General features: G+C 43.3%; 1 protein-coding gene across 19 annotated transcripts in view, besides 11 other annotated features; it reads right to left on the reverse strand.

Annotated features, from left to right (window-relative positions):
* SLC4A7 (solute carrier family 4 member 7) overlaps positions 1–21,244 on the reverse strand; it is a 111,662-nt gene extending 90,418 nt beyond the window's left edge. For 10 of the 19 annotated variants that reach the window (NR_135541.2, NR_135544.2, NR_135543.2 and 7 more), the window contains exon 1: positions 20,939–21,244. Coding sequence is in view for 14 of the 19 variants with exons in the window: in XM_017007527.3 (XP_016863016.1) it covers positions 20,939–20,986 (48 nt within the window). In the remaining 5 variants the exon portion in view is untranslated. Of the gene's footprint in view, positions 1–20,378; positions 20,488–20,926 lie in introns of all 19 variants that reach the window. The other 9 variants (XM_011534263.4, NM_001321105.2, NM_001321104.2 and 6 more) reach the window with 2 other exon arrangements.
* Positions 921–1,780: an enhancer, noted in NCBI's record as "H3K27ac hESC enhancer chr3:27505552-27506411 (GRCh37/hg19 assembly coordinates)". NCBI's record gives its function as "activates a minimal SCP1, AML or CMV promoter by ChIP-STARR-seq in primed H9 embryonic stem cells {active_cell/tissue: H9 hESC(primed)}" and the evidence as "EXISTENCE:reporter gene assay evidence [ECO:0000049][PMID:30033119]".
* Positions 8,484–8,984: an enhancer, noted in NCBI's record as "H3K4me1 hESC enhancer chr3:27513115-27513615 (GRCh37/hg19 assembly coordinates)". NCBI's record gives its function as "activates a minimal SCP1, AML or CMV promoter by ChIP-STARR-seq in naive H9 embryonic stem cells {active_cell/tissue: H9 hESC(naive)}" and the evidence as "EXISTENCE:reporter gene assay evidence [ECO:0000049][PMID:30033119]".
* Positions 19,983–20,042: an enhancer, noted in NCBI's record as "active region_19616". NCBI's record gives its function as "activates an Ori minimal core promoter by ATAC-STARR-seq in GM12878 lymphoblastoid cells {active_cell/tissue: GM12878}" and the evidence as "EXISTENCE:reporter gene assay evidence [ECO:0000049][PMID:35858748]".
* Positions 20,203–20,412: an enhancer, noted in NCBI's record as "active region_19617". NCBI's record gives its function as "activates an Ori minimal core promoter by ATAC-STARR-seq in GM12878 lymphoblastoid cells {active_cell/tissue: GM12878}" and the evidence as "EXISTENCE:reporter gene assay evidence [ECO:0000049][PMID:35858748]".
* Positions 20,443–20,502: an enhancer, noted in NCBI's record as "active region_19618". NCBI's record gives its function as "activates an Ori minimal core promoter by ATAC-STARR-seq in GM12878 lymphoblastoid cells {active_cell/tissue: GM12878}" and the evidence as "EXISTENCE:reporter gene assay evidence [ECO:0000049][PMID:35858748]".
* Positions 20,518–21,294: an enhancer, noted in NCBI's record as "H3K27ac hESC enhancer chr3:27525149-27525925 (GRCh37/hg19 assembly coordinates)". NCBI's record gives its function as "activates a minimal SCP1, AML or CMV promoter by ChIP-STARR-seq in primed H9 embryonic stem cells {active_cell/tissue: H9 hESC(primed)}" and the evidence as "EXISTENCE:reporter gene assay evidence [ECO:0000049][PMID:30033119]".
* Positions 20,518–21,642: a biological region, named in NCBI's record as "H3K27ac hESC enhancer GRCh37_chr3:27525149-27525925".
* Positions 20,673–20,742: a silencer, noted in NCBI's record as "silent region_14149". NCBI's record gives its function as "represses an Ori minimal core promoter by ATAC-STARR-seq in GM12878 lymphoblastoid cells {active_cell/tissue: GM12878}" and the evidence as "EXISTENCE:reporter gene assay evidence [ECO:0000049][PMID:35858748]".
* Positions 20,773–21,132: a silencer, noted in NCBI's record as "silent region_14150". NCBI's record gives its function as "represses an Ori minimal core promoter by ATAC-STARR-seq in GM12878 lymphoblastoid cells {active_cell/tissue: GM12878}" and the evidence as "EXISTENCE:reporter gene assay evidence [ECO:0000049][PMID:35858748]".
* Positions 21,163–21,642: a silencer, noted in NCBI's record as "silent region_14151". NCBI's record gives its function as "represses an Ori minimal core promoter by ATAC-STARR-seq in GM12878 lymphoblastoid cells {active_cell/tissue: GM12878}" and the evidence as "EXISTENCE:reporter gene assay evidence [ECO:0000049][PMID:35858748]".
* Positions 21,773–21,902: an enhancer, noted in NCBI's record as "active region_19619". NCBI's record gives its function as "activates an Ori minimal core promoter by ATAC-STARR-seq in GM12878 lymphoblastoid cells {active_cell/tissue: GM12878}" and the evidence as "EXISTENCE:reporter gene assay evidence [ECO:0000049][PMID:35858748]".

Genomic DNA, 22,219 nt, shown 5'->3' on the forward strand with positions numbered 1-22,219 from the left:
GTTAGGGCCGGGCGCGGTGGCTCACGCCTGTAATCCCAGCACTTTGGGAGGTCAAGGAGGGCGGATGACGAGGTCAGGAGATCCAGACCATCCTAGTTAACACGGTGAAACCCCGTCTCTACTAAAAATACAAAAAATAAATTAGCCAGGCGTGGTGGCGGGCGCCTATAGTCCAGCTACTCAGGAAGCTGGGGCAAGAGAATAGCGTGGACCCGGGAGGCGGAGCTTGCAGTGAGCTGAGATCGCACCACTGCACTCCAGCCTCGGCGACAGAGCGAGACTCCGCCTCTTAAAAAAAATACAAAAAATACAAAAATTAGCCGAGCGTGGTGGCGGTTGCAGTCAGCCGAGATCGCACCACTGCACTCCAGCCTGGGCAACAAGAGCGAAACTCCACCTCAAAAAATAAAAAATAAAGCAAGCCCAATGCGGTGGCTAATGTATGTAATCCTAGTGAGACAGCCAAATAAAAAGGGCTCCCAAGAAAATCTACGAGTGGCCTGCGCACTGGGATGAGGATGGGGTGGAGCCGCGAAGTTTGCGCCATTTGCCGGGGGGAAGAACCTGACCCCTCCTGTTCCCATTTGCAGCGGGGAAGAGCCTGACCCCTCCTGTTCCGGGATAGTAACCTGGAATTCAATTGGTGAGATGGGCAGCCTGTTAGCAGGACTCCATCTCACTTTGCTGTGTTGTTCTTTTCGCCGGCTAAGTTCATAACCCCTTACCTTTCAAAGTGTCTGCGTGCCTAATCTTTACCTGCCGTATGACAAGAACCCGGTTTTGTCTACAACACCAGCACTTTGGGAGGCCAAGGCGGGCTGATTGCTTGAGCTCAGGGGTTTGAGACCATCCTGGGCAACATAGTGAAACCCTGGTCTCTACCAAAAACACGAAAATTAACCAGGCGTGCCTGTTATCCCAGCTACTTGGAAGGCCGAGACACAAGAATCGCTTGAACCCAGGAGGCGGAAGCTAGTGAGCCGAGATTGCGCCACTGCACTCCAGCCTGGGAGCAAGACTCCGTCTCAAAAAAAAGAAAACACACTGTTGTTTTAATATCACATTGTCATGTTTTCGGAAGGATAAAACCCATTTGTGAGTTTGTGTTTATATGAACACAAAATATAGAAGGATATATAAGTTAGTCTGTTTCAACGAAGATCATGTTTCTCTAGAGAGATTAAAGATCTATTAATTCAATATAACATTAAATATAAAAGATAACTGATAATTCATTAAGGGTGAAATAGTGACATTTTAGTCCATTCTTCAAAACCACAATCAAGGCAGGGAGCGGTAGCTCACGCCAGTAATCCCAGCACTTTGGGAGGCCGAGGCAGAGGTCAGGAGTTCGAGACCAGCCTGGAAAACACAGCAAACCCCTATCTCCACTAAAAATACAAAAATTAGCCAGGCGTGGTGGCGGGCGCCTTTACCAGCTACTCGGGAGGGTGAGGCAGGAGAACTGCTTGAACCCGGGAGGCAGAGGTTGCAGTGAGCCGAGATCGCACCACTGTACTCCCGCCTGGGCAACAGAGCGGGACTCCGTCTCAAAAAAAAAAGCCAGCCAGCCAGCCCAGCGCGGTCGCTAATGCCTGTAATCCTAGTGAGACAGTCAAGTAAAAAGGGCTCCCAAGACAATTTACGAGCACTGGGAGGATGGGGTGGAACCGCGAAAAGTTCGCGCCATTTGCAGTGGGGGAAGAGCCTGGCCCCTCCTGTTCCGGGATAGTAACCTGGAATTCAATTGGTGAGATGGACAGCCTGTTAGCCAGGACTCCATTTCACTTTGCTGTGTTGTTCTTTCTTTTTCGCCCAATAAATTCGTAACCCCTCACCTTTCAAAGTATCTGCGTGCCTAATCTTTCCCGGCCGTGTGACAAGAACCCGGTTTTTTCTACAACACCAGCACTTTGGGAGGCCAAGGTGGGCGGATTGCCTGAGCTCTGGGGTTTGAGACCAGCCAGGACAACATGGTGAAACCCTGGTTTCTACCAAAAACACGAAAATTATCCAGGCGTGCCTGTAATCCCAGCCACCCGGGAGGCTGAGCCACGAGAATCGCTTGAACCCAGGAGGCGGAGTTTGCAGTAAACCGAGATGGCACCACTGCACTCCAAGCCTGGGCAACAGAGCAAGACTCCGTCTCAAAAAAAAAAAAAAAAAAAACCCACAAACCTACAATCAATTCTTGTTTTAAGTAGATACAACTTTAATAAAAAAGCAAGTAACATTTTTGAAAAAGCATTTCACAAGGTCAGCTACCTACAGAAGATGGTTCAAAATTTTCCTAACCATTTTCCCATGTTCTAAAACTGAACTGGTAGGCACAGTAAAAAAAAAAAAAAAAAAAAGTACTAACATTTTTACTGCTTTACAATCATTACATTATATAATCAAATTAACTGATTTTTTGAAATCTTAAATTCAGGAAAAAGAAATACTACACAGCTTAAAATTCTAATTGTGAATTTCAATCAGCCAAAGCAGGGGGAAACCGAGAAATTTTAAATTAGGTAGAAAACTGTACAGGAATTAGGCCGGCACCGTGGCTCACGCCTGTAATCCCAGCACTTTGAGAGGCCGAGGCGGACGAATCACGAGATCAGGAGATCGAAACCACCCTGGCTAACACGGGGTTTTCTCTACTAAAAATACAAAAAATTAGCCAGGCGTGGTGGCTGGCACCTGTAGTCCCAGCTACTCGGGAGGCTGAGGCAGGAGAATGGCATGAACCCGGGAGGCGGAGGTTGCAGTGAGCTGAGATCGCCCCACTGCACTCCAGCCTGGGCGACAGAGCAAGAGTCCGTCTCAAAAAAAAAAAAAGAAAGAAAGAAAGAAAGAAAACTGTACAGGAATTAAAGTGATTAAGAAAGCATATGTAGTATCCATTTAAGTTCCTTTACAGATGGGAAATTACTTTTTCTGTACAGGAACATAATACAGGAATGTAACTAGATGTAAATGATACTGCTGACAAAGCAGAGGGCCCATGTTTTCTCTTTATATGACAGAAAAGGGGGTACATTGGCTGGGCGCGGTGGCTCACGCCTGTAATCCCAGCACTTTGGGAGGCCGAGGCGGGCGGATCACGAGGTCAGGAGATCGAGACCATCCTGGCTAACACGGTGAAACCCCGTCTCTACTAAAAATACAAAAAATTAGCCGGGCGAGGTGGTGGGCACCTGTAGTCCCAGCAACTCAAAAGGCTGAGGCAGGAGAATGGTGTGAACCCCGGGGGACGGAGCCTGCAGTGAGCCGAGATCGCGCCACTGCACTCCAACCTGGGCGACAGCGAGACTCCGTCTCAAAAAAAAAAAAGAAAAAGAAAAGGGGGTACATTAAGGTGCACAATTTTAATTATGAGAAGATACGTTTTAAATTCTTTAAAATTTTTACTTTCTTGGACAGCCGTGGTGATTCACACCTGTAATCCCAGCACTTTGGGAAGCTGAGGCAGGTGGATCACCTGAGGTCAGGAGTTCGAGACCAGCCTAGCCAATATGACGGAGCCCCGTCTCTATAAAAAAATACCAAAATTAGCCATCTCTATAAAAAATACCAAAATTAGCCCCGCGTGCTGGTGCGCGCCTGTAGTCCCAGCTACTAGGGAGGCTGAGACAGGAGAATTGCTTGAACCTGGGAGGCAGCAGTTTCAGAGAGCCGCGATTGCGCCACTGCACTCCAGCTTGGGCAAAAGAGCAAGACTCCATCTCAAGAAAAAAAAAATTTTTTTAATTTTCTTTATATTTTCCTATACTCTTTAGAAATATAAGTTGGGAAGAATAATCTCCATTAACAATGGATGAGTGAGGAAGTTAGTTTTATTTAGTATTCCACAGTCATACACTGTGGTTGTTACTAGCTTTTATAATAGTCTTACACTAAACAATTTTAGGAGCAAGTATTACTCTCCCAAATATGTGAAAGAAACTTGAGGCTCAGAAAAGTTAAATAGTTTTCCCAAGGTCCCATTGCTTCAGCTTGGATAAGATATAATTTAAAATCATGTCCCACTTCCAGGGACAATGCACTTTTCACTGGGCCACTTACAAACATTATTTTTAATTCTCACAAAAACTCCTTATGGTAACACAGCTGATCATTATTTAAATCAGGGGTATCTGATTTCAAAGAGCTCATGTTCATTCCACTAGGCCACATACCTTCCCCTATATTAAACTACATATAATTTTACTTATATGCCTTATTTATGGAATTCTAAGTAAAACATAATTAATCACAAAAAATTTCACTTCATTATTTTAAAACACTTTACTAGCAATTCAGTAACAGCTAATTAAATTGAAATCGCAGCAATAAGCAGCACAAATGTCAACACAATAAATCAGCTTTAATACTATAACAAACATGAAGGTTTTAATTTAATTTACACATAAATTTGAAGCAAGTAGCCAAGAAAAGAGGAAGAAGAAATCCCGTAAAACAAATGGAAACCTGTCTCACTTTAAAACATATGTTTCAGTGAGGAGCACAGCCAGTCCACTCCTTTCACACTGCTAAATATCACTGCCGAGTTCACACTGCTTAATTTGGGCGACCATTTCAGTATTTAACACCACTAAAATTTAGGCTTCACCAATGTATAAGATCACCATCTAGTGGTTATGATTAGAACCATGGAATTTTTCTCTCATGCTGTGATTATGGTTAAGAGAATGACTCTAAAGGCAAAGAAATTCAGTTTGAAAAACTTCTCTAGCAGTTGCTTTAAGAAAGCTGTACATTTAATTTCATTCAGAAAAAAATTATCAAGGCAAAGTACTATTAAATATTTCATTTTTATACTAGCCAAATTTAGGATATAGTAGAATAGTATTCAGATATGCATTTTATATGTAAATAAAATCCTCTCAGGTTCAAGAGATTCTCCTGCCTCAGCCTCCCAAGTAGCTGGGATTACAGGTACACATCACCACACCCAGCTAAGCTAACTTTTCTATTTTTAGTAGAGATGACGTTTCACCATGTTGGCCAGGCTGGTCTTGAACTCCTGACTTCAAGTGATCCGCCCGCCTCGGCCTCCCACAGTGTTGGGATTACAGGCGTGAGCCACCAAGAGCAGCCTTATAAATTCTTATTAAGAGATTAAAACAATTTACACATGTTTGACAACAGCTACTAATTAATGACATAATCCAAAAAATTATCTCCATAAGTTGTATATTAGGATAAAATTAAGACTAGATACTGAAAAACTGTACATAAACATATGCAATGCAATTTGTCAACCAATTTATTTTGGCTGAAGATAATACATGATCTAAGCTGAGTGCAGTGATACACACCGGTCACACTCAGTCAAGAGACTGAGGTGGAGGATTGCTTGAGCCCAGGAGTTAGAGCTGCACTGTGCTATGAAGCCACCTGTTAATAGCCACTGCACTCCAGCCTGGGCAACATGGTTCTAGGAAGAAATTAATAATAATTGTAATAATATAGGTTCTAGATCTAGTAAGATTGTCTGAATTGAAATCCTGGCTCTTCACTTACTACGCTGGGCAGATTACTTAGTCTCACTGGATCTGTTTCCTCATCTGTAGAATGGGGATAACAATATTTATACAAATGATAGGCTAAAAAAAATTAAACAAGATGTTGCATGCAATGAATACAGTTTAGAAACATTTCTGGTACAATATAAGCATTCAATGAAATACTAGGAGTGGGGCGTGATGGCTCATGCATATAATCCTAGCATTTTGGGAGGCCGGGGTGGGCGGATCACTTGAGGTCAGGAGTTCCAGACCAGCCTGGCCATCACGCAAAATGCTGTCTCTACTAAAAATACAAATATTAGCCAGGCTTCGTGGCACACACCTGTAATCCCAGCTACTTGGGAAGCTTAGACAGGAGAATTGCTTGAACCCAGGAAGCGGAGGTTGCAGTGAGCTGATTTTGCACCACTACACTCCAGCCTGGGCGACAGAGGGAGACTGCGTCTCAATAAAAGAAAAAAAAAAACTTAAATACTAGGTATTAGTACTCTTTGGAAAAAACTCAAATCATTTTTCCTGTGCTCTCACAACAATCATCACCGTAGAAGATGACTTCTATGACCAAATGTCAGGGGATTTCTCCCCACGAGCAAGCCAAGTAAGCAATCAATTCTGCAGCAGACACCAGCTGGGTGTCCTCTAATTAATTAATTCCAACACTACCTGGAGATAGTGTTAGATCCCACAGGTTGAGGGCTCAGTCACCAAGACTCTTCCCCACCACCCCATCCCCTACTAATCACAAGTCCAGGCCTCTGGAACTTTAAATTGGGGTTTCCACAATCCCCTCTTTGGGTTTAATTAATGTCCTGGAGCAGCTCACAGAACTCACAGACACACTTACTTATGTTTACTGATTTATAAAGGATATTATAAAGGATACAAATGGAGTTCGAGACCAGCCTGACCAACATGGAGAGACCCTGTCTCTATTAAAAATACAATTAGCCGGGCGTGGTGGCACATGCCTGTAATACCAGCTACTCAGGAGGCTGAGGCAGGAGAATCACTTGAACCCGGGAAGCAGAGGTTGCAGTGAGCCTAGATCATGCCATTGCACTCCAGCTTGGGCAACAAGAGCAAAACTCTGTCTCAAAAAAAAATAATAAAATAACAATAATAATAATTAAAGCCATTGCTGAGGTGCTAAGATGATGATACAGTTGATAGTCTTAGAAAAGCTGACCATTTTGTCCAATCACTGCAAAATAAGTTAACTCTTTTAGAAATAAACATTCAACTAACCTTTGAGAAGTAGCTGTAACAAAATAACTAAGAATGTCTGAGGATTATCCTAAAAAATAAATACTTGCCTTCTTTCAAGCCTCCTTTAACCATGTATTGGCATACATATAAAACATAAGAATTACAGTTTAGTGTAATTAAACATTCCATGTATCTTATCTTTCTTCTTATAAAATCTAGTAATTGGCTCAATTGCCATAGCATTAAAGATATTTTTCTCAATAGTTTTGCATTAAGTCCTTTCCAAATTAAACACATTGCAATATTTCAAGTTATTTCTGAGTCGAACTGACTAAACAGTCTTGCTAGCTAATTGTAGATCTTTTTTTTTTTTTGCTCATGAGCTTAAAGGCTTAAGCAGTTGATTTGAGTTTGAAATTGAACAGAAGATAATCTGTCGGCAGTTCTTTCTTCTCATTACACCTCAATTTATTAATATACATGGAACAAGTAAGCTACTATTAATGAAATATGAAGTTAAATTTGCCAAAATAAAAACTTTTTGATGTACTGTTAATTTATAAGCCAAATAACAGCATTTAATCTAAATACTTGGGTGTTAACATTTTAATGAATATATATATGACTGATACATATATTGAATATATTAATATATAGGTATGTATTATTTCTAAAAGAATGAAATCGAATGTTTATCTATAGCAATGGTTTTCCAACTTGTTTTAAGAAAAGGAATAAAAGGGTGGCTACCTCATGGGCAGAGTAGCTCCAACTTTAAAAAAAAAAAAAAAAAACAGCCAGGCACGGTGGCTCACGCCTGTAACCCCAGCACTCTGGGAGGCCGAGGCAGGCGGCTCACAAGGTCAGGAGAATGAGACCATCCTGGCTAACACAGTGAAACCCCGTCTCTACTAAAAATACAAAAAATTAGCTGGGCGTGGTGGCATGCGCCTGTACTCCCAGCTACTCCAGAGACTGAGGCAGGAGAACCCCTTGAATCCAGTAGGCGGAGGTTGCAATGAGCCGAGATCGCGCCACTGCACTCCAGCCTAGTGACAGAGCAAGACTCCGTCTCACAAAAAATAAAATAAAATAAAATAAAACAAAACAGCAAACCCTGGAAAGAAACACATTTTGCATCACAACCCAGTACATAACATACCTCTTCACTTGATCTTAGCCAAATGGCCGGGAAGCAGAATATACCTCTTTACATGTCATGTATGTATGCATGTATAAAATAAAAAGTTTCACAAAACAATATATGCCCCTACTATTTGCAACGTATTGTTTTAATTTTCTATTCTGTTCCTTTCTTTTCTAACACTTATAATCCACTAAATTGTTTTTACAAATTATTAATAAATCACAACCTGCAGTTTGGAAAAGATTCAATCTGCAGTAAGGAAGAGATTCAGGAAATGAATATTTGGGGTATATCCTTCCTGAATTTTATTTAACAATAACTACGTTAAAGCAGGCAGAGGCTAGTCAGGATTTCAGCCCCATAGCTATTCAGATTGGAGAACAAGGTGAAAGGGGGAACATTTTTTTGAGACGGAGTTTCACATTCTTGTTGCTCAGGCTGGAGTGCAATGGGGCAATCTCAGTTCACCACAACCTCTGCCTCCCAGGTAGCTGGGATCACAGGCATGCACCACCACACCTGGCTAATTCTGTATTTTTAGTAGAGATGGGGTTCCTCCACGTTGGTCAGACTGGTCTCAAACTCCTGACCTCAGGTGATCCGCCCACCTCGGCCTCCCAAAGTGCTGAGATTACAGGCGTGAGCCACCGCGCCCAGCTTCCAATTTGAAGCTTTAATACACTATCAACAAAGTGAGTAAAAAATTCCCATTACAAGTCCCAGGCCTGCATTTTATAAACTGTGGTTCACGCTAATTTGTTTCAGATGACAAACTAAAGCAAAAGCTTTAACATTTGAGTGATTCAAGGCATTAAACAGTAAATGACTGCTAACCAACAGACCCAACAAAAATTTGTTAGCCCATGCTCATTTTTTACACTTTATATGCCATTCCTGTGAGGCCGATTGAAAAAGCTGAAAATATTATCATTCTGGCTTTACATGAAAATCTTCTCAATGAACAGTATTTACTCCTCCAATCAGCTATTTATTCTAGATTAGCAGAGAGGCAGCCATCCCCCATCATCTGAAATTCACTGCTACCAAATTACAATCTTAAACTGCCCCTCCCTCTTCAAAGCTCACAACCATAACAAAGAAAGCACTGGCATGGTATAAAACAATCCCTCAGAGCTAATCCAGTCAATACTCATTTATTGACCTTTTAAGCCATTTATTGCTAAACCAATGCAATTAGCAGATGATAGCAAATAAGTTATATAAAAATTGAATACATGAGCTTAAGTCAGTGACAAGATATTAAATTTTAAAATGTCTTTTTAAATTGAATGCAGCTGGTTTCCGCAATGCACGCCTGTAATCCCAGTGCTTTGGGAGGACAAAGTGGGCTGATCACCCGAGGTCAGAAGTTCAAGAACAGCCTGGCCAACATGGCGAAACCCCATCTGTATGGGTTGCGTCACTGCACTCCAGCCTGGGCGACAGAATGAGACTCCATCTCAAAATATATACATATAAATAAAAATATATATAAAAACAAAATAAAATAACTAAATTGAATGCAGTGATATAAAGTGTATAATTTGCATTTTTCAGCTGTGATCTGAAATGATGAAATTTAATCTAAAAATCATTTCCTCCACTCCCTTTATGACCTTATCTCCCACCTCTTGCCTCACACCTCCAATATGAATTCAAATTCTGATGGGCTCATACTTTGCTATGGAACCATATTAAAATACTGTTTTGATTTCTAATCAATGAAACAATTTCTATTTGTATCTTACCTCTATCAAAATTCCTTTTCAAAAACGAATTGCATCAGGCTGGGCACAGTGGCTCATGCCTATAATCCCAGCACTTTGGGAGGCCGAGGCGGGCAGATCACCTGAGGTTAGGAGTTTGAGACCAGCCTGGCCAACACGGTGAAACCTCAGCTATACTAAAAATACAAAAATAAGCTGGGCGTGGTAGCGCAAGCTAGTAATCCCAGCTACTCGGGAGGCTGAGGCAGGGGAATCGTTTGAATCTGGGAGTCGGAGGTTGCAGTGAGTCCAGATCACGCCACTGTACTCCAGCCTGGGCAACAGAGGAAGACTCTGTCTCAAAAAAAAAAAAAAGGATTAGAATCAGCTTAAAAAATGGAAGAAAACATCTATCTCAAAAATTGATAAGCTGGGCATGGTGTGTGTGTACGCACCATTAGTCTCAGCTACTTAGGTGGCTGAGGCCAGAGGACCACTTGAGCCCAGGAGTTCAAGGCTCCTGTGCACTATGATTATGCCTGTGAATAGCCACCACGTTCTCGCCTGTGCAACATAGCAAGACCTCATCTCTTAAAAAAAAATGTAATTAATAAAGTCAGTACATATACAACCGGCTCTTTAAAACAAGCTGAATTACTTTAAAATTCCTACTTTAACGACCCCTTTGAGAAATCACATTTTTGTAAAATAGAAAGGCAGCTTGAGGCCAGGATCATGCCCATAATCCCAGCACTTTGGGAGGTCAAGGTAGGCGGATCACTTGAGCTTAGGAGTTTGAGACCAGCCTGGGCAACATGGCAAAACCAAAAATACAAAAAATTAGCCAAGTGTGGTGGTGCGTGCCTGTAGTCCCAGCTACTCGGGAGGCTGAGGTGGGAGGATTGTTTGAGCCCGGGGGGTGGAGGGTGTAGTGAGCCGAGATCATATCAGCACTCCAGCCTGGGTGACAGAGTGAGACCTCATGTCAAAAAAAAAAAAAAAAAAAAAAAGGCAGATTGAGTATATTAACCCAATAAAATTCAATGCTACATAGTTATTCTCGAAATTTGTGAACATCTTTTAAGTTATCTAATAATACAAATACATACATAAAATCACAAAGAGCGTATGTGCACAAATTGTGTGTGTACCCAAAACAAAATTTAGAAGACTATCACTTTACCCAATAAAATTCATGGTAATTATTTCATATTACAGAAAAAATATATAAATGGTAAATTTAAGATGAAACTATGAATATGAACCCTTTATAAAGTATAATTTATTATCGTCCTGCCTCAACAGAATAACAACTAGAAACTATCTTACGCCTATTCGACTGAACACTATGCTAAGCTCTCTGACTTTCTATACTCTAGAGACTAAATTTTGAAAGTCTAACATTATCAAAAAGATACAGTAAGATCTCATCAAAACAGAATTAAGCTATCTACAACAAGAATCAGAAAGCAGTCTTAGGAGGTAAAATTTGTGTCTCAGAGAATAAATAAGTGAGATAACAGAGGCCTCCATCATCATCTCCACTAAATAACTGTCATTTCATTTGTTATCAATAACAAATCTACAGCAGATAAGAAATTCAATGATAAAACAGTTAAACACAAGGTAAGTTTTAAAAACAGTATAAAGCTAGTTAGTGATCAGTACTCTATTCTTAAAAGGAGAGATATATCACATTTTAAATATTTTGTCAAAATGGTTAAATCATTTAAAGGTAATCCCAGCACTTTGGGAAGCCAAGGCAGGCAGATCACGAGGTCAGGAGTTTGAGACCAGTCTGGCCAACATAGTGAAACCCGGTCCCTACTAAAAATACAAAAAATTAGCCTGGCATGGTGGCGGGCACCTGTAATCCCATCTACTCGGGAGGCTGAGGCAGGAGAATCACTTGAACCCGGGAGGCAAATGAGATCACGCCATTGCACTCCAGCTTGTGCAACAGTACAAGACTCATGGAGACAGTGACTCCAGGAGACAGTGCGAGCCTCTGTCTCAAAATAAATAAAGGAAGACAATTATGCTTTAATTAGGCTTTTAAACAATTTTGTCAACACATCATATCCTTTAAAATGTGAAGCTTTAGGCAACAAACCAGTATCAGGCCAGGCGCGGTGGCTCACACATATAATCCCAGAACTTTGCCAGATCACTTGAGGTCAGGAGTTCGAGACCTGCCTGGCCAACATGGTGAAACCCCATCTCTACTACAAACACAAAAAAATTAGCCAGGCATGATGGCGCACGCCTGTGATCCTAGCTACTTGGGAGGCCAAGGCAGGACAATCGCTTGAACCTGGGAGGTGGAGGTTGCAGTGAGCCGAGATTGCACCACTGCACTCTGGGTGACAGAGCGAGATTGCGTCTCAAAAAGAAAAAAAACCAGTATCAAATCCCTGCCCACAGAGTTATCTAGAATATCTAAACACCAGGGGTTTAAGGACAGTCAAGATTTTTTTCTCTGTCCTCATTCTGTACACAAACTCTTCTACAATTTTATTATGTAGGATACTCCATAAGAACACAGGCTGATTATTAATAGCAAGTTTCCAAGAGGCACATTTAGCATTTTATACACAGTATTCTACCTGATCCTAAGACGAGCCCTACGAGATAAGTTTAATAGAGTAATTCCAATTTGCACATGAGAAAAATGAGATTCAAAGCTGTCAGTTGCCCAAAGCCACCTAAGTGGCATATTAGAAATAGGGAACCCAGGTATATCTGAAACCCAAACATGTACTTGTTACATCTAGGTTAAGCCACCTCCAAATTTTACCTTGTTTTGAAAATGAGGATTAGAGTGTATGATTATTTACTGAATTTCCTATTACTGAATAAAATAGCTCAATAAGATAAAATGAAAGGCCAAATGAAGGCCAATTTTAGACTGAATGAATCCCTTATTCCTAACAAATGACCAACTTCCCCAGATACAAACAGGCTTATAACAAAATCTTATCCCGAGGATACTGCTAATGGCATATGCAAAAATGGATAAGGAAGTTCCTCTTGGACATTTTATAATTAAGGTCATTTGGGAATAATTATGAACAAAACAAAAATAAAGACAAAATATTACTGAAAGGACTCTACTGAGTTGGTGCATTGGCTAATTACAGCACCTGTATAAACATTTATGCATGGATTGGCAAGCTAGGGTGGCAGAGTTCAGGAAGGAAGAGGGTCCACAAACCTCAAAATCACAAAATTAAAAGCAGATGAACAGAAAGAAATTATATTATGTAAGTAATAATTGTAAAGAATAGAATAGCATAATTTCAAACCAATACATATAACGGCTGACATCTGGAATCTGAAATTGCTTGTCATTGGTGGTTTTATAATCATATATATCAAAAGTCACTGCTTTTCATAAAGCAAAATTACACAAGTATTAAGATTTAAGTAAAATACCCAGTTTTCCAACAATCAGTGTAAATGTATTTAAAAGTGGTGAAAATAGGATAAATTTTCTTAAAATTTTCATTTTAATGGTGCTTAATATTCACTTGCCTAAAATTTTCTCTCAGGTTTAAAAAATGTTATGTATTCTTTGGAATCAATCCAACTTGCATTTACTGCATTTACTCAACATTCTCACTCAAGGAACCAAGGCAAGAAATATTCTCTTCTACTGGCAGTTGTATCAAGCAAAGTAGCATTCTTTTTCTTAATGGTTAATACCATAAATAAAAGCCATATAACATATTACTTGACTAAACAACTAACTAGCAGTATATTCAATTTCAAATCTTATTGAGTCATGATATCATCTGCTATCGTTTGGCTCTGTCCCCACCCAAATCTCATGTCAAACTGTAATCCCCTCATGTTGAAGAAGGGGCCTGGTGGGAGGTGACTGAATCATGGGGGCAGATGTCCCCCTCATTGTTCTCATTAGTTCTCATGAGATCTGGTTGTTTGAGAGTGTGTAGCCCTTCCCACTTCTCTCTCTCCTACTGCCATGTGAAGACTTGCATGCTTCCCCTTCCACCATATTTGTTTCCTGAGTCCTCCTAGCCATGCTTCTTGTACAGCCTGCAGAACTGTGAGTCAAGTAAACCTCTTTCCTTCATAAATTACCCAGTCTCAGGTAGTTCTTTATAGCACTGTCATAACAGACTAATACATCATCCTAACATTCATCCATTGAACAAATATATTTGTTCAATGTGTAAAACCCTAGGCTAGACTTAATTGAGAATTTAGCAATGAATGACCCAGGAAAACTCTATCCCCAGCCATCAGGGAATCTGGAGGCAGAGAGGCAAATTTCAGATACTTAATTTCTGTAACATTAGCAACTTAATTCACAAAACTTACATAATAACACCTTTTAAAAATAGAAGGAAACTACTACAGCTAACTCTGAATTAATAACTTCAGCATTATTCTAGGCCCTCAGAAGAAATAATGAAACTCCACTGAAGGTTCTACCATACTCTTCCTCTAATCCTAGCACTGGGCAGGAGAAATGTCATGTTTCTTGCATTGATGCAAATCCTAATGCAAGATTTATGATTTTGTCCTTTGCTGTGTGGCAAGTTGGTGAACAGCAGCTAACTTTTTAGAGAAAGCCTGCTCTGAACAATGCATTGTATTAGGTCTCTCATTTAATCACTTATTATTATCTCTGTGTTAAAGATGTGAACTCACGGGCAGAGATTTTCTAAAAATTTTCAGGCCCTACCATTGGAGGCTAAGCTAAGATCTGAACCCACGGTTGATACCAAACCACTGCTCGTCCCCTTCTCTTCTGTTTCTCATTAGGCTGGAATAATCAAAGATCTCTGTTTGGCAATACCACGTAATATTAAGCTGCATTCTCTCCCCATCAAAGTTTAATGTCTTTATGTATTATAAGGTTTCTCAGAGCCTTTTTTTTTGGAGATGGAGTCTTGCTCTGTTGCCCAGGAATGCAGTGGCGCGATCTTGGCTCACTGCAACCTCCACCTCCTGGGTTCGAGCGATTCTCCCGCCTCATCCTGCCTCAGCCTCCCAAGTAGCTGGGATTACAGGCGCACAGCACCACGCCCTGGTAATTTTTTGTATTTTAGTAGAGACGGGGTTTCACCGTGTTGCCCAGACTGGTCTCGAACTCCTGAGCTCAGGCAATCCACCTGCCTCAGCCTCCCAAATTGCTGGGATTACAGGCATGAGCCACCGCGCCCGGCTTTCATGCTCTTTTGAAAACCATTCCACACTCCTTTCTGTAACGAAATAAAAGAGGCATCTTCCAAGTGTGAATCTACTGTCAAAAGTATAACCATTTCTCATGTTCCTAATCAGAGATGATACACAATTCGACAGCTTTTCCAAATTGGGAAATCTGACTGAAAAGAAGCAATACAGTCCTGGAATCCAGAGAGAGGGAGAACACAACTTCTCTACTGCCTAAAATGTGAGTGAACAGAATCAGAACCAAATGATACTAGTTCACATAAAATTCTCTGAAAAATGAGGAAAAAAAAAAAGGTCATTTAAAACATTAAAGCGGGCAGGGTGCGGTGGCTCACACCTGTAATCCCAGCACTTTGGGAGGCTGAGGTGGGCGGATGACCTGAGGTCAGGAGTTCGAGACCAGCCTGGCCAACATGGTGAAACCCTGTCTCTACTAAAAATACAAAAATTAGCCGGGCGTGGTGGCGTGCGCCTGTAATTCCATCTACCTGGGAGGCTGAGGCAGGAGAATCGCTTGAACCCGGGGGACGGAGGTTGCCGTGACCCAAGATCGTACCACTGCACTCCTGGGCAAAAGAGCGAGACTGCCTCAAAAAAAAAAAAAAAAAAACCCAACAACATTAAAGCATCCTCCCTATTTCACAATTAACAGTGGACTATGCTTTAACCCCTTGATACTGAAAACTGCTTAAGTACGCTCACTAAAATGGCTTAAGAAAAATTAAAACATTTTAAAACATCCTCTTTGGAAGAAATCTGAAAATCTGCTTAAAACCGCCAAACTAGGCCAGGCACAGTGGCTCCTGCTTGTAATCCCAGCACTTTGGGAGGCCGTGGCAGGTGGATCATTTGAGGTCAGGAGTTCAAGACCAGCCTGGCCAACATAGTGAAACCCTGTCTCTACTAAAAATACAAAAAAAAAAAAAAAAAGAGAGAGAGGGGGGCGTGGTGGCACACCCCTGTAATCCCAGCTACTGGGGAGGCTGAGGCACAAGAATCTCTTGAACCCAGAAGGTGGAGGTTGCCGTGAGTCGAGATCGCACCACTGCACTCCAACCTGGGTGACAAAGTGAGAACCCTGTCTCAGGAAAAAAAAAAACAAAAAAACACCAAACTAGAACCTGTCTGTATTGGCATATCAGCGCCAGATAAAATGCAAATCTATATTATGAACACATTAACTTTCTAAACCAAGTACTGAAAAGATGTGTTGGCAAGATGTAGCGGCTCACGCCTGTAATCCCAGCACTTTGGGGGGCAGAGGAGGGTGGATCGCTTGAGCCAAGGAGTTCGACATCAGCCTGTGCAAAATGTTGAAACCCTGCCTCTATTAAAAATACAAAAAATTAGCCAGACGTGGTGGTGTGCCTGTATTCCCAGCTACTCAGGAGGCTGAGGTGGGAGGATCACGTGAGCCCAGGAAGTTGGGGCTGCAGTGAGCCATGATGGTACCACTGCACTTCAGCCTGGGCAACCCTGAGGATGAGACCCTGCCTCAGCAACAAAAAAAAAAAGGTATTAGGCCACTCTCTTATTTTAACAGTCATTTGAAAATGTCTAGTCCATGAAAGGAAAGAGTCACTAATTTAGGCAACCTAGTCTACTCTAATCAGCTAGCCCTCTGCCTTAAGGAAGATTGTCAACAGCAACACTGCCAAACACTACCATAACACTATATCAACCAAAGACCTTTTATGATTTGTCACCATTATAATTGCAAATAGTCCTAAATTTTTCCAAACTGCAAAAATGCAACAAAATACACAATATTGCCTGCTAAATGAAAATAGAGGTAAAATTCACTGCTTATTCTAAAACTAAAAATACTGTATGCATAAAAAGTGATAGCTACAGAGGAAATTGTAATCATCAGCAAGAAACTATAGTACAAATCAAAAGCTATACTGATCTGTAACTAATCTTTAACATTAACCCTATGGAAATATCTGTAAGCGCCTAAATGGCCCACACAGTTTAGTCAGTTGCAGATCCTATCCACTTTAAGATCATATTTGTGGTAAGATACAATAAGAAGGAGGGGGAGGAAAAGAGGAAGAAAACACCCATTACAGGATGTTGACAATTATAACTAGCAAAGTTTTAGAATATATTGGTTAGCACACCACATCCCACTAAAATAATACACCAGGTTCCTCCAATACCAGGTTACTTTGGCTCTGTATTCTAACCTATTCAAATAACAAGAGTCTAATGTAACAAAATTCTCTAAGCTCTTAGAAGAAAACCTGTGTACTTCCCAGTCTCAATTACCAGGCAAAACAATTCATCAATCTAACTCAAATGTCCTACAGCTTTGTTTCATCTTGTATTGAGGCAGGGCTTCACTCTGTCACCCAGGCTGCAGTGCAATGGCATAATCACAGCTCACTGCAGCCTCAACCTCCCAGGCTCAAGTGATCCTCCTGCCTCGGCCTCCCAAGTAGCTGGGACTACAGGCTAGCACCAACACATATGGGTAATTATGTTTTGTAGAGACAGGGTCCCATTATGTTGCCCAGGCTGGTCTCAAACCCCCTAGGCTCAAGTGATCCTCCCACTTCAGCCTCCCAAAGTACAGGGGTTACAGGCATAAGCCACAGCACCTAGCCTTGTCCTACAGTTTCAGATTTGCTCTCTCCCTTTATTACAACTCCATGGATTGCGGCCCAGAGATACTTAGAATAAGGCAAAAGGGTAACTGAAACCCTGATACTATTCCTAGGGTGCCACATCAATACCTAGTATCAATACGTAACTGTGATTCCCCAAACAGAATGCCTACTTACAGACCCACAAAAAAAAACTTCCATTTGCCAATCACTACCGAATTCATACTGGGTTGTCCGGGTCTGTCATTTATTCTAATGACTATTTTTTTTTAATTTCTTACAGACTGATGAAATGTTTTAACTGGCACTCACAAATGGAAAGCAGAAATGTAAATGCCATCACTGTGTTCACACCATACGCCAAAATAAACTCAGCGAAGGCAGTATGCTGTCTACCTTGTTTGACTATATCCCCATTACCTGGCACCTATAGGATATTTAATAAATATGTGCAAAATGAATAAAATCATAACAAAATCATGGAAAAATATCATGGTCCCAAAATGTCAGTGGTATCAGAATTGTGTTATATCATGCACTGCTTAAAAGAAAGTAGATTACCTGCTAAAACTTAGAAACCTTCTAAACCATGCTATTTATAAAAGGATTTAACCTATACTGGAAAATAAGACTGACAACAACAACAAAAAAAGACTCACAAATCAATTCCAAGTGAGGCTTACAATTATGAGGCTTTATAGCAAAAGCAAAAGACAAGTTACATTTTTTCAAGATTAATGACTTTCCTCTATCCCAACACCCTGATCAGTGAAAATTAGAGAATTTTAGGAGCAGAAGCAACCATAGAGGCTAAACTATGAAACAGATGGGCTCCAATTTCAGAGTAATATAAACTGCCACCAATCTATTCAACATTTTTTTGCATAATTACAAATCTAAGATGGGATTTTATGAATATTAATTTGTTCTACTTTTTTGGCTATGCTGAGCAGTCTGCTGCGAGTTAGAGTTATGACTGATGAATATCATGATCTCTCACTTTTACGACTTTTATTTACCAAAACTGGGTGAGCGAAGATTTAATTTTATCAACGCCAATAGTTCCTCTTTCCTGTTTTCAAATCAGTTCAACCTACAGCTTTACTATTCTCCCATTCTATTCGTAGACTATATGCTAGTTTACTGTATTTGATTTCTATTATTGATTTATATATGTTAACAGTAGCCAAGCCTTATCTTCTCAAAGACTTAGGAGGTTTACCCTTCTAAAGTGCTCCCCTACCACGTCATTAACAGCAGTGTTTAATAATTCCTTTGTCATCTGTCTCCCAACTCAAATATCACTTCTATTAGGATAGAGTTGGGTAGGGTGCCATGGCTTACACCTGTAATCCCAGCACTCTGTGAGGCCGAGGTGGGTGGATCACCTGAGGTCAGGAGTTCGAGACCAGCCTAACCAACAGTGAAATCCCATCTCTACTAAAAATACAAAATTAGCCGAGTATGGTGGCACATGCCTGTAATCCCAGCTACTCGGGAGGCTGAGGCCGAAGAATCACTTGAACCCAGGAGGCAGAGGTTGCAGTGAGGCGAGATCAGGCCATTGCGCTCCAGCCTGGGTGACAGAGCGAAACTCCGTCTCAAAAATAAATAAATAAATATTAGGATGGAGTTGGTTCTGCCTTGTTGGCCACTACAGTAAATAGTGTAAATAATAGTTTAAATAGCATAAACACTAGTCTAAATAAGTGTTATTACAATGAATGAATGAATAACTTGGAGGGCAATGGCCTTATCACATGCTTTCTCTACTAGCTAGGCAGGCAATATTTGAGAACACACCATAGTTTCTATCCAGCTCCGTGAAAACTCGAATGCACTTTACTGCTCAATTGAAAATTTGCAAATAAATTTAAGAACAGACAACATCATACTTGAAATACACAGAGAAAGTACTATAAAACAGTTTATTCAAAGGCTACACAAAGAATTACAGAAGGCCAGGCGCGGTGGCTCACGCCTGTAATCCTAGCACTTTGGGAGGCCGAGGCGGGTGGATTGCCTGAGGTCAGGAGTTCCAGACCAGCCTGGACAACATGGCAAAACCCCGTCTCTACTAAAAATACAAAAAATTAGCTGGGCATAGTGGTGCGTGCCTGTAATTCCTGCTACTCCGGAGGCTGAGGCGGGAGAATCGGTTGAACCTGGGAGGAGGAGGTTGCAGTGAGCCGAGATCGCACCACTGCATTCCAGCCTGGGCGACAGAGCGAGACTCTGTCTCAAAATAATAATAATAATAATTACAGATTATTTAGGATGAGTTTCCAGTATTCCATTACCATCACTGTGAATTATCTTCCAATAACCACTGCTAAATGACTTCACTGTCTGGTGACTGAGTTTTCTTCTATGTTAGAGAACTTATATGAACGTACTGAACTAATGAATGACTACTTTCCATAACCTTAACTATAATCCTAAAAGTTAAAAGGGAAAGCCGGCAGGCAGTTTTAAAGACAACTCTTGAATAAAAACATAGGAGAAGTAATTTTCCTCTTAGTTGTGAAAGACCGGACAATTTTCCCTGCAACCTTCCCGCCTTTGCTGGTTGCATAGTAAAAATTAGAAGTAGGAAAATTTAGAATACTTCCATCTCCTTTGAGTCACGAACTTGGAAAGGAGAAAGAGACAACTGCGGGGACGCATGTGCTCTAAAGAAAGCAGGAAGTCCGCTTCTTGAGCATGGGCCGTTCACCCATCATCACAAATGGGAACACCGGCCTTAAGTCCATCCCCATTCTCTTCTAACCCTGAAATCAAAGCCAGTCTCAGTAGGAAACGCGATCTTGCTAGCTGAGTTAGAGAAGGAGCACCAGACAGCTCAGGACACCCTCCTCCTTCTACTTGGCCTGCGGCAGGAGGATACTCCCCGGGTCCCAGCCAGTGGAGAAGGCGGACCCGGCAGGCAACAGCGAAAGAGCCTTGGCCGGGAAGGAGCGCGGCCAGTCCACGCGGCCGGAGAACTCACCGAACAAAGCGCACCGCGGAGCGGGAGGGGACACTCGGAAAGAGGGGGAAAGATTCAACCAGCTCTTCACCACTGCCTGGGGCTAGAGACAGGTGGAGCCGCCGTCCTCCTTAGAAGGAGAAGAAAGATAGGTTTTCGAGGGCTAATCTGAAACTCCTGCGCCAAGGCAACCGGAACCGGGACCCCGCCTGGGGAGCGCGCTAAGAAACAGGGGAGGCGAGCGCTGAGGGAAGGGATGGATGGTCGGGGTCACAGGCGGCCTCTGCGGGGATGTCGGGGTCCCGCCTGAGCCGCGCAGAGGATGCCCGCGGCGCGCCGCCGGCCGCCCCGACTCGGGCCTCCCGAGCGCAGCCGCTGGCCCCCTCCCACCCGCGCCCCAGGCCGCCACACAAAGGGGATGGCGAGGCGCGCCGGCCGCCGGGAGGTGGAGGGGCGACGGGCCTGGGACGAGGTGGCCGAGCCGCGACGCCCGCCGCGCCCCCCGCCTTTGTCTGCCTCGCCCCGCGCCCTCCCCCTGCGGAGGAGCCCCACCGCCGCGGCGCCCTCACCCTGCTCGTTACCCGGGTGAGTAGCGGTCTCATCTGCTCGCCGGCCCCATCAGCCTCCATGGCCGGCCGGCCAGCCCGTGACGGCCGCTACGGTACTGCCCCGCGCGGTCTGCCTGCTTCTGCCGCTGCCCCTGCCGCCGCCGCCGAGCCCCCGGCGCGCGAGGACAAACGTGGGTGCGTCCGTGCGCGAGGTGTGCGCGCGTGGGGAGAGCCGGGCGCCGGGCGCGGGAGACGCGGGGCGTGCGTGTGCGCGCTGCGACTGCTGGGCTGGCTTTAGTAGGAGAGCGAGGCCGCGGCGTGGAACCTGAAGCTAGAACTGAGCGAACCGGCGGACCGAGCGGGAAGGAGGAGAGCCGCGTAGGAGGAGGGGTTCGGGGGCGGAGCCGCAAACCGTGACGAGCCCGGCGCCGGGGCCAGGCAAGACACGCCCCCCCGCCCCGCCTCCTCGGGTCACGCCCCCTGCCAGTCTGGCACCGCCAGCCTCCTCAGCGCGCCCGCGGGCCGCGCCGCTAGGCCACCGGGAGATGGGGCGGGAGGGAGGCGGGACGGACATTTGTCCCAGCCAATCGGCGGCTGGCGGACTTCCGCTCGCCTCCCCCGTGCCACCTCCTCAGGACGCACCGCCCCTCTTTGTATAAGCTTAATTGACCGAAGCTGAGCGTCTAACTAGTTTTTCAAGTCGGAAGCTCCCCTGACGTTCTCAATGGGGTGGGGGGTCACCACCTCCCTTGGCTCCTAACTACATTCTTTAGAGGCTGCAGGGAAGGAGGACGCCACCTCTGTCAAGGACGCCCAGGATAACCCTCCGAAGCAACTAACGAGTCTTCACGACTCCTGGAAGTTTCTTTTCTGTCAATCCAGTAGGCACGAACCCCAACTCAGGGACCGTGAAAGATGGGGTACACTTGACCAGGTGTCCTCCTGTGCTTGCTCGCCCACTGAGCACCACGACAGCTGCCACTTTTTTTTTTTTTTTTTTTTTTTTTGAGACAGAGTCTTGCACCAGCCCAGGTTGGAGTGCAATGGCATGATCTCGGCTCACTGCAACCTCCGCTGCCTGGGTTCAAGCTATTCTCCTGCCTCAGCCTCCTGAGTAGCTGGGACTACAGACGCGCGCCACCACGCCCGGCAACTTTTTGTATTTTTAGTAGAGACGGGGTTTCACCATGTTGGTTAGGCTGGTCTCGAACTCCTGAGCTAAGGTGATCCACCAGCCTCAGCCTCCCAAAGTGCTGGGATTACAGGCATGAGCCACCACACCCGGCCAGCTGCCACATTATTGAGTCCACCCTG

The sequence above is a fragment of the Homo sapiens genome, chromosome 3 (genome assembly GCF_000001405.40).
Source record: "Homo sapiens chromosome 3, GRCh38.p14 Primary Assembly".
In the NCBI taxonomy this organism is placed as follows: domain Eukaryota; kingdom Metazoa; phylum Chordata; class Mammalia; order Primates; family Hominidae; genus Homo; species Homo sapiens.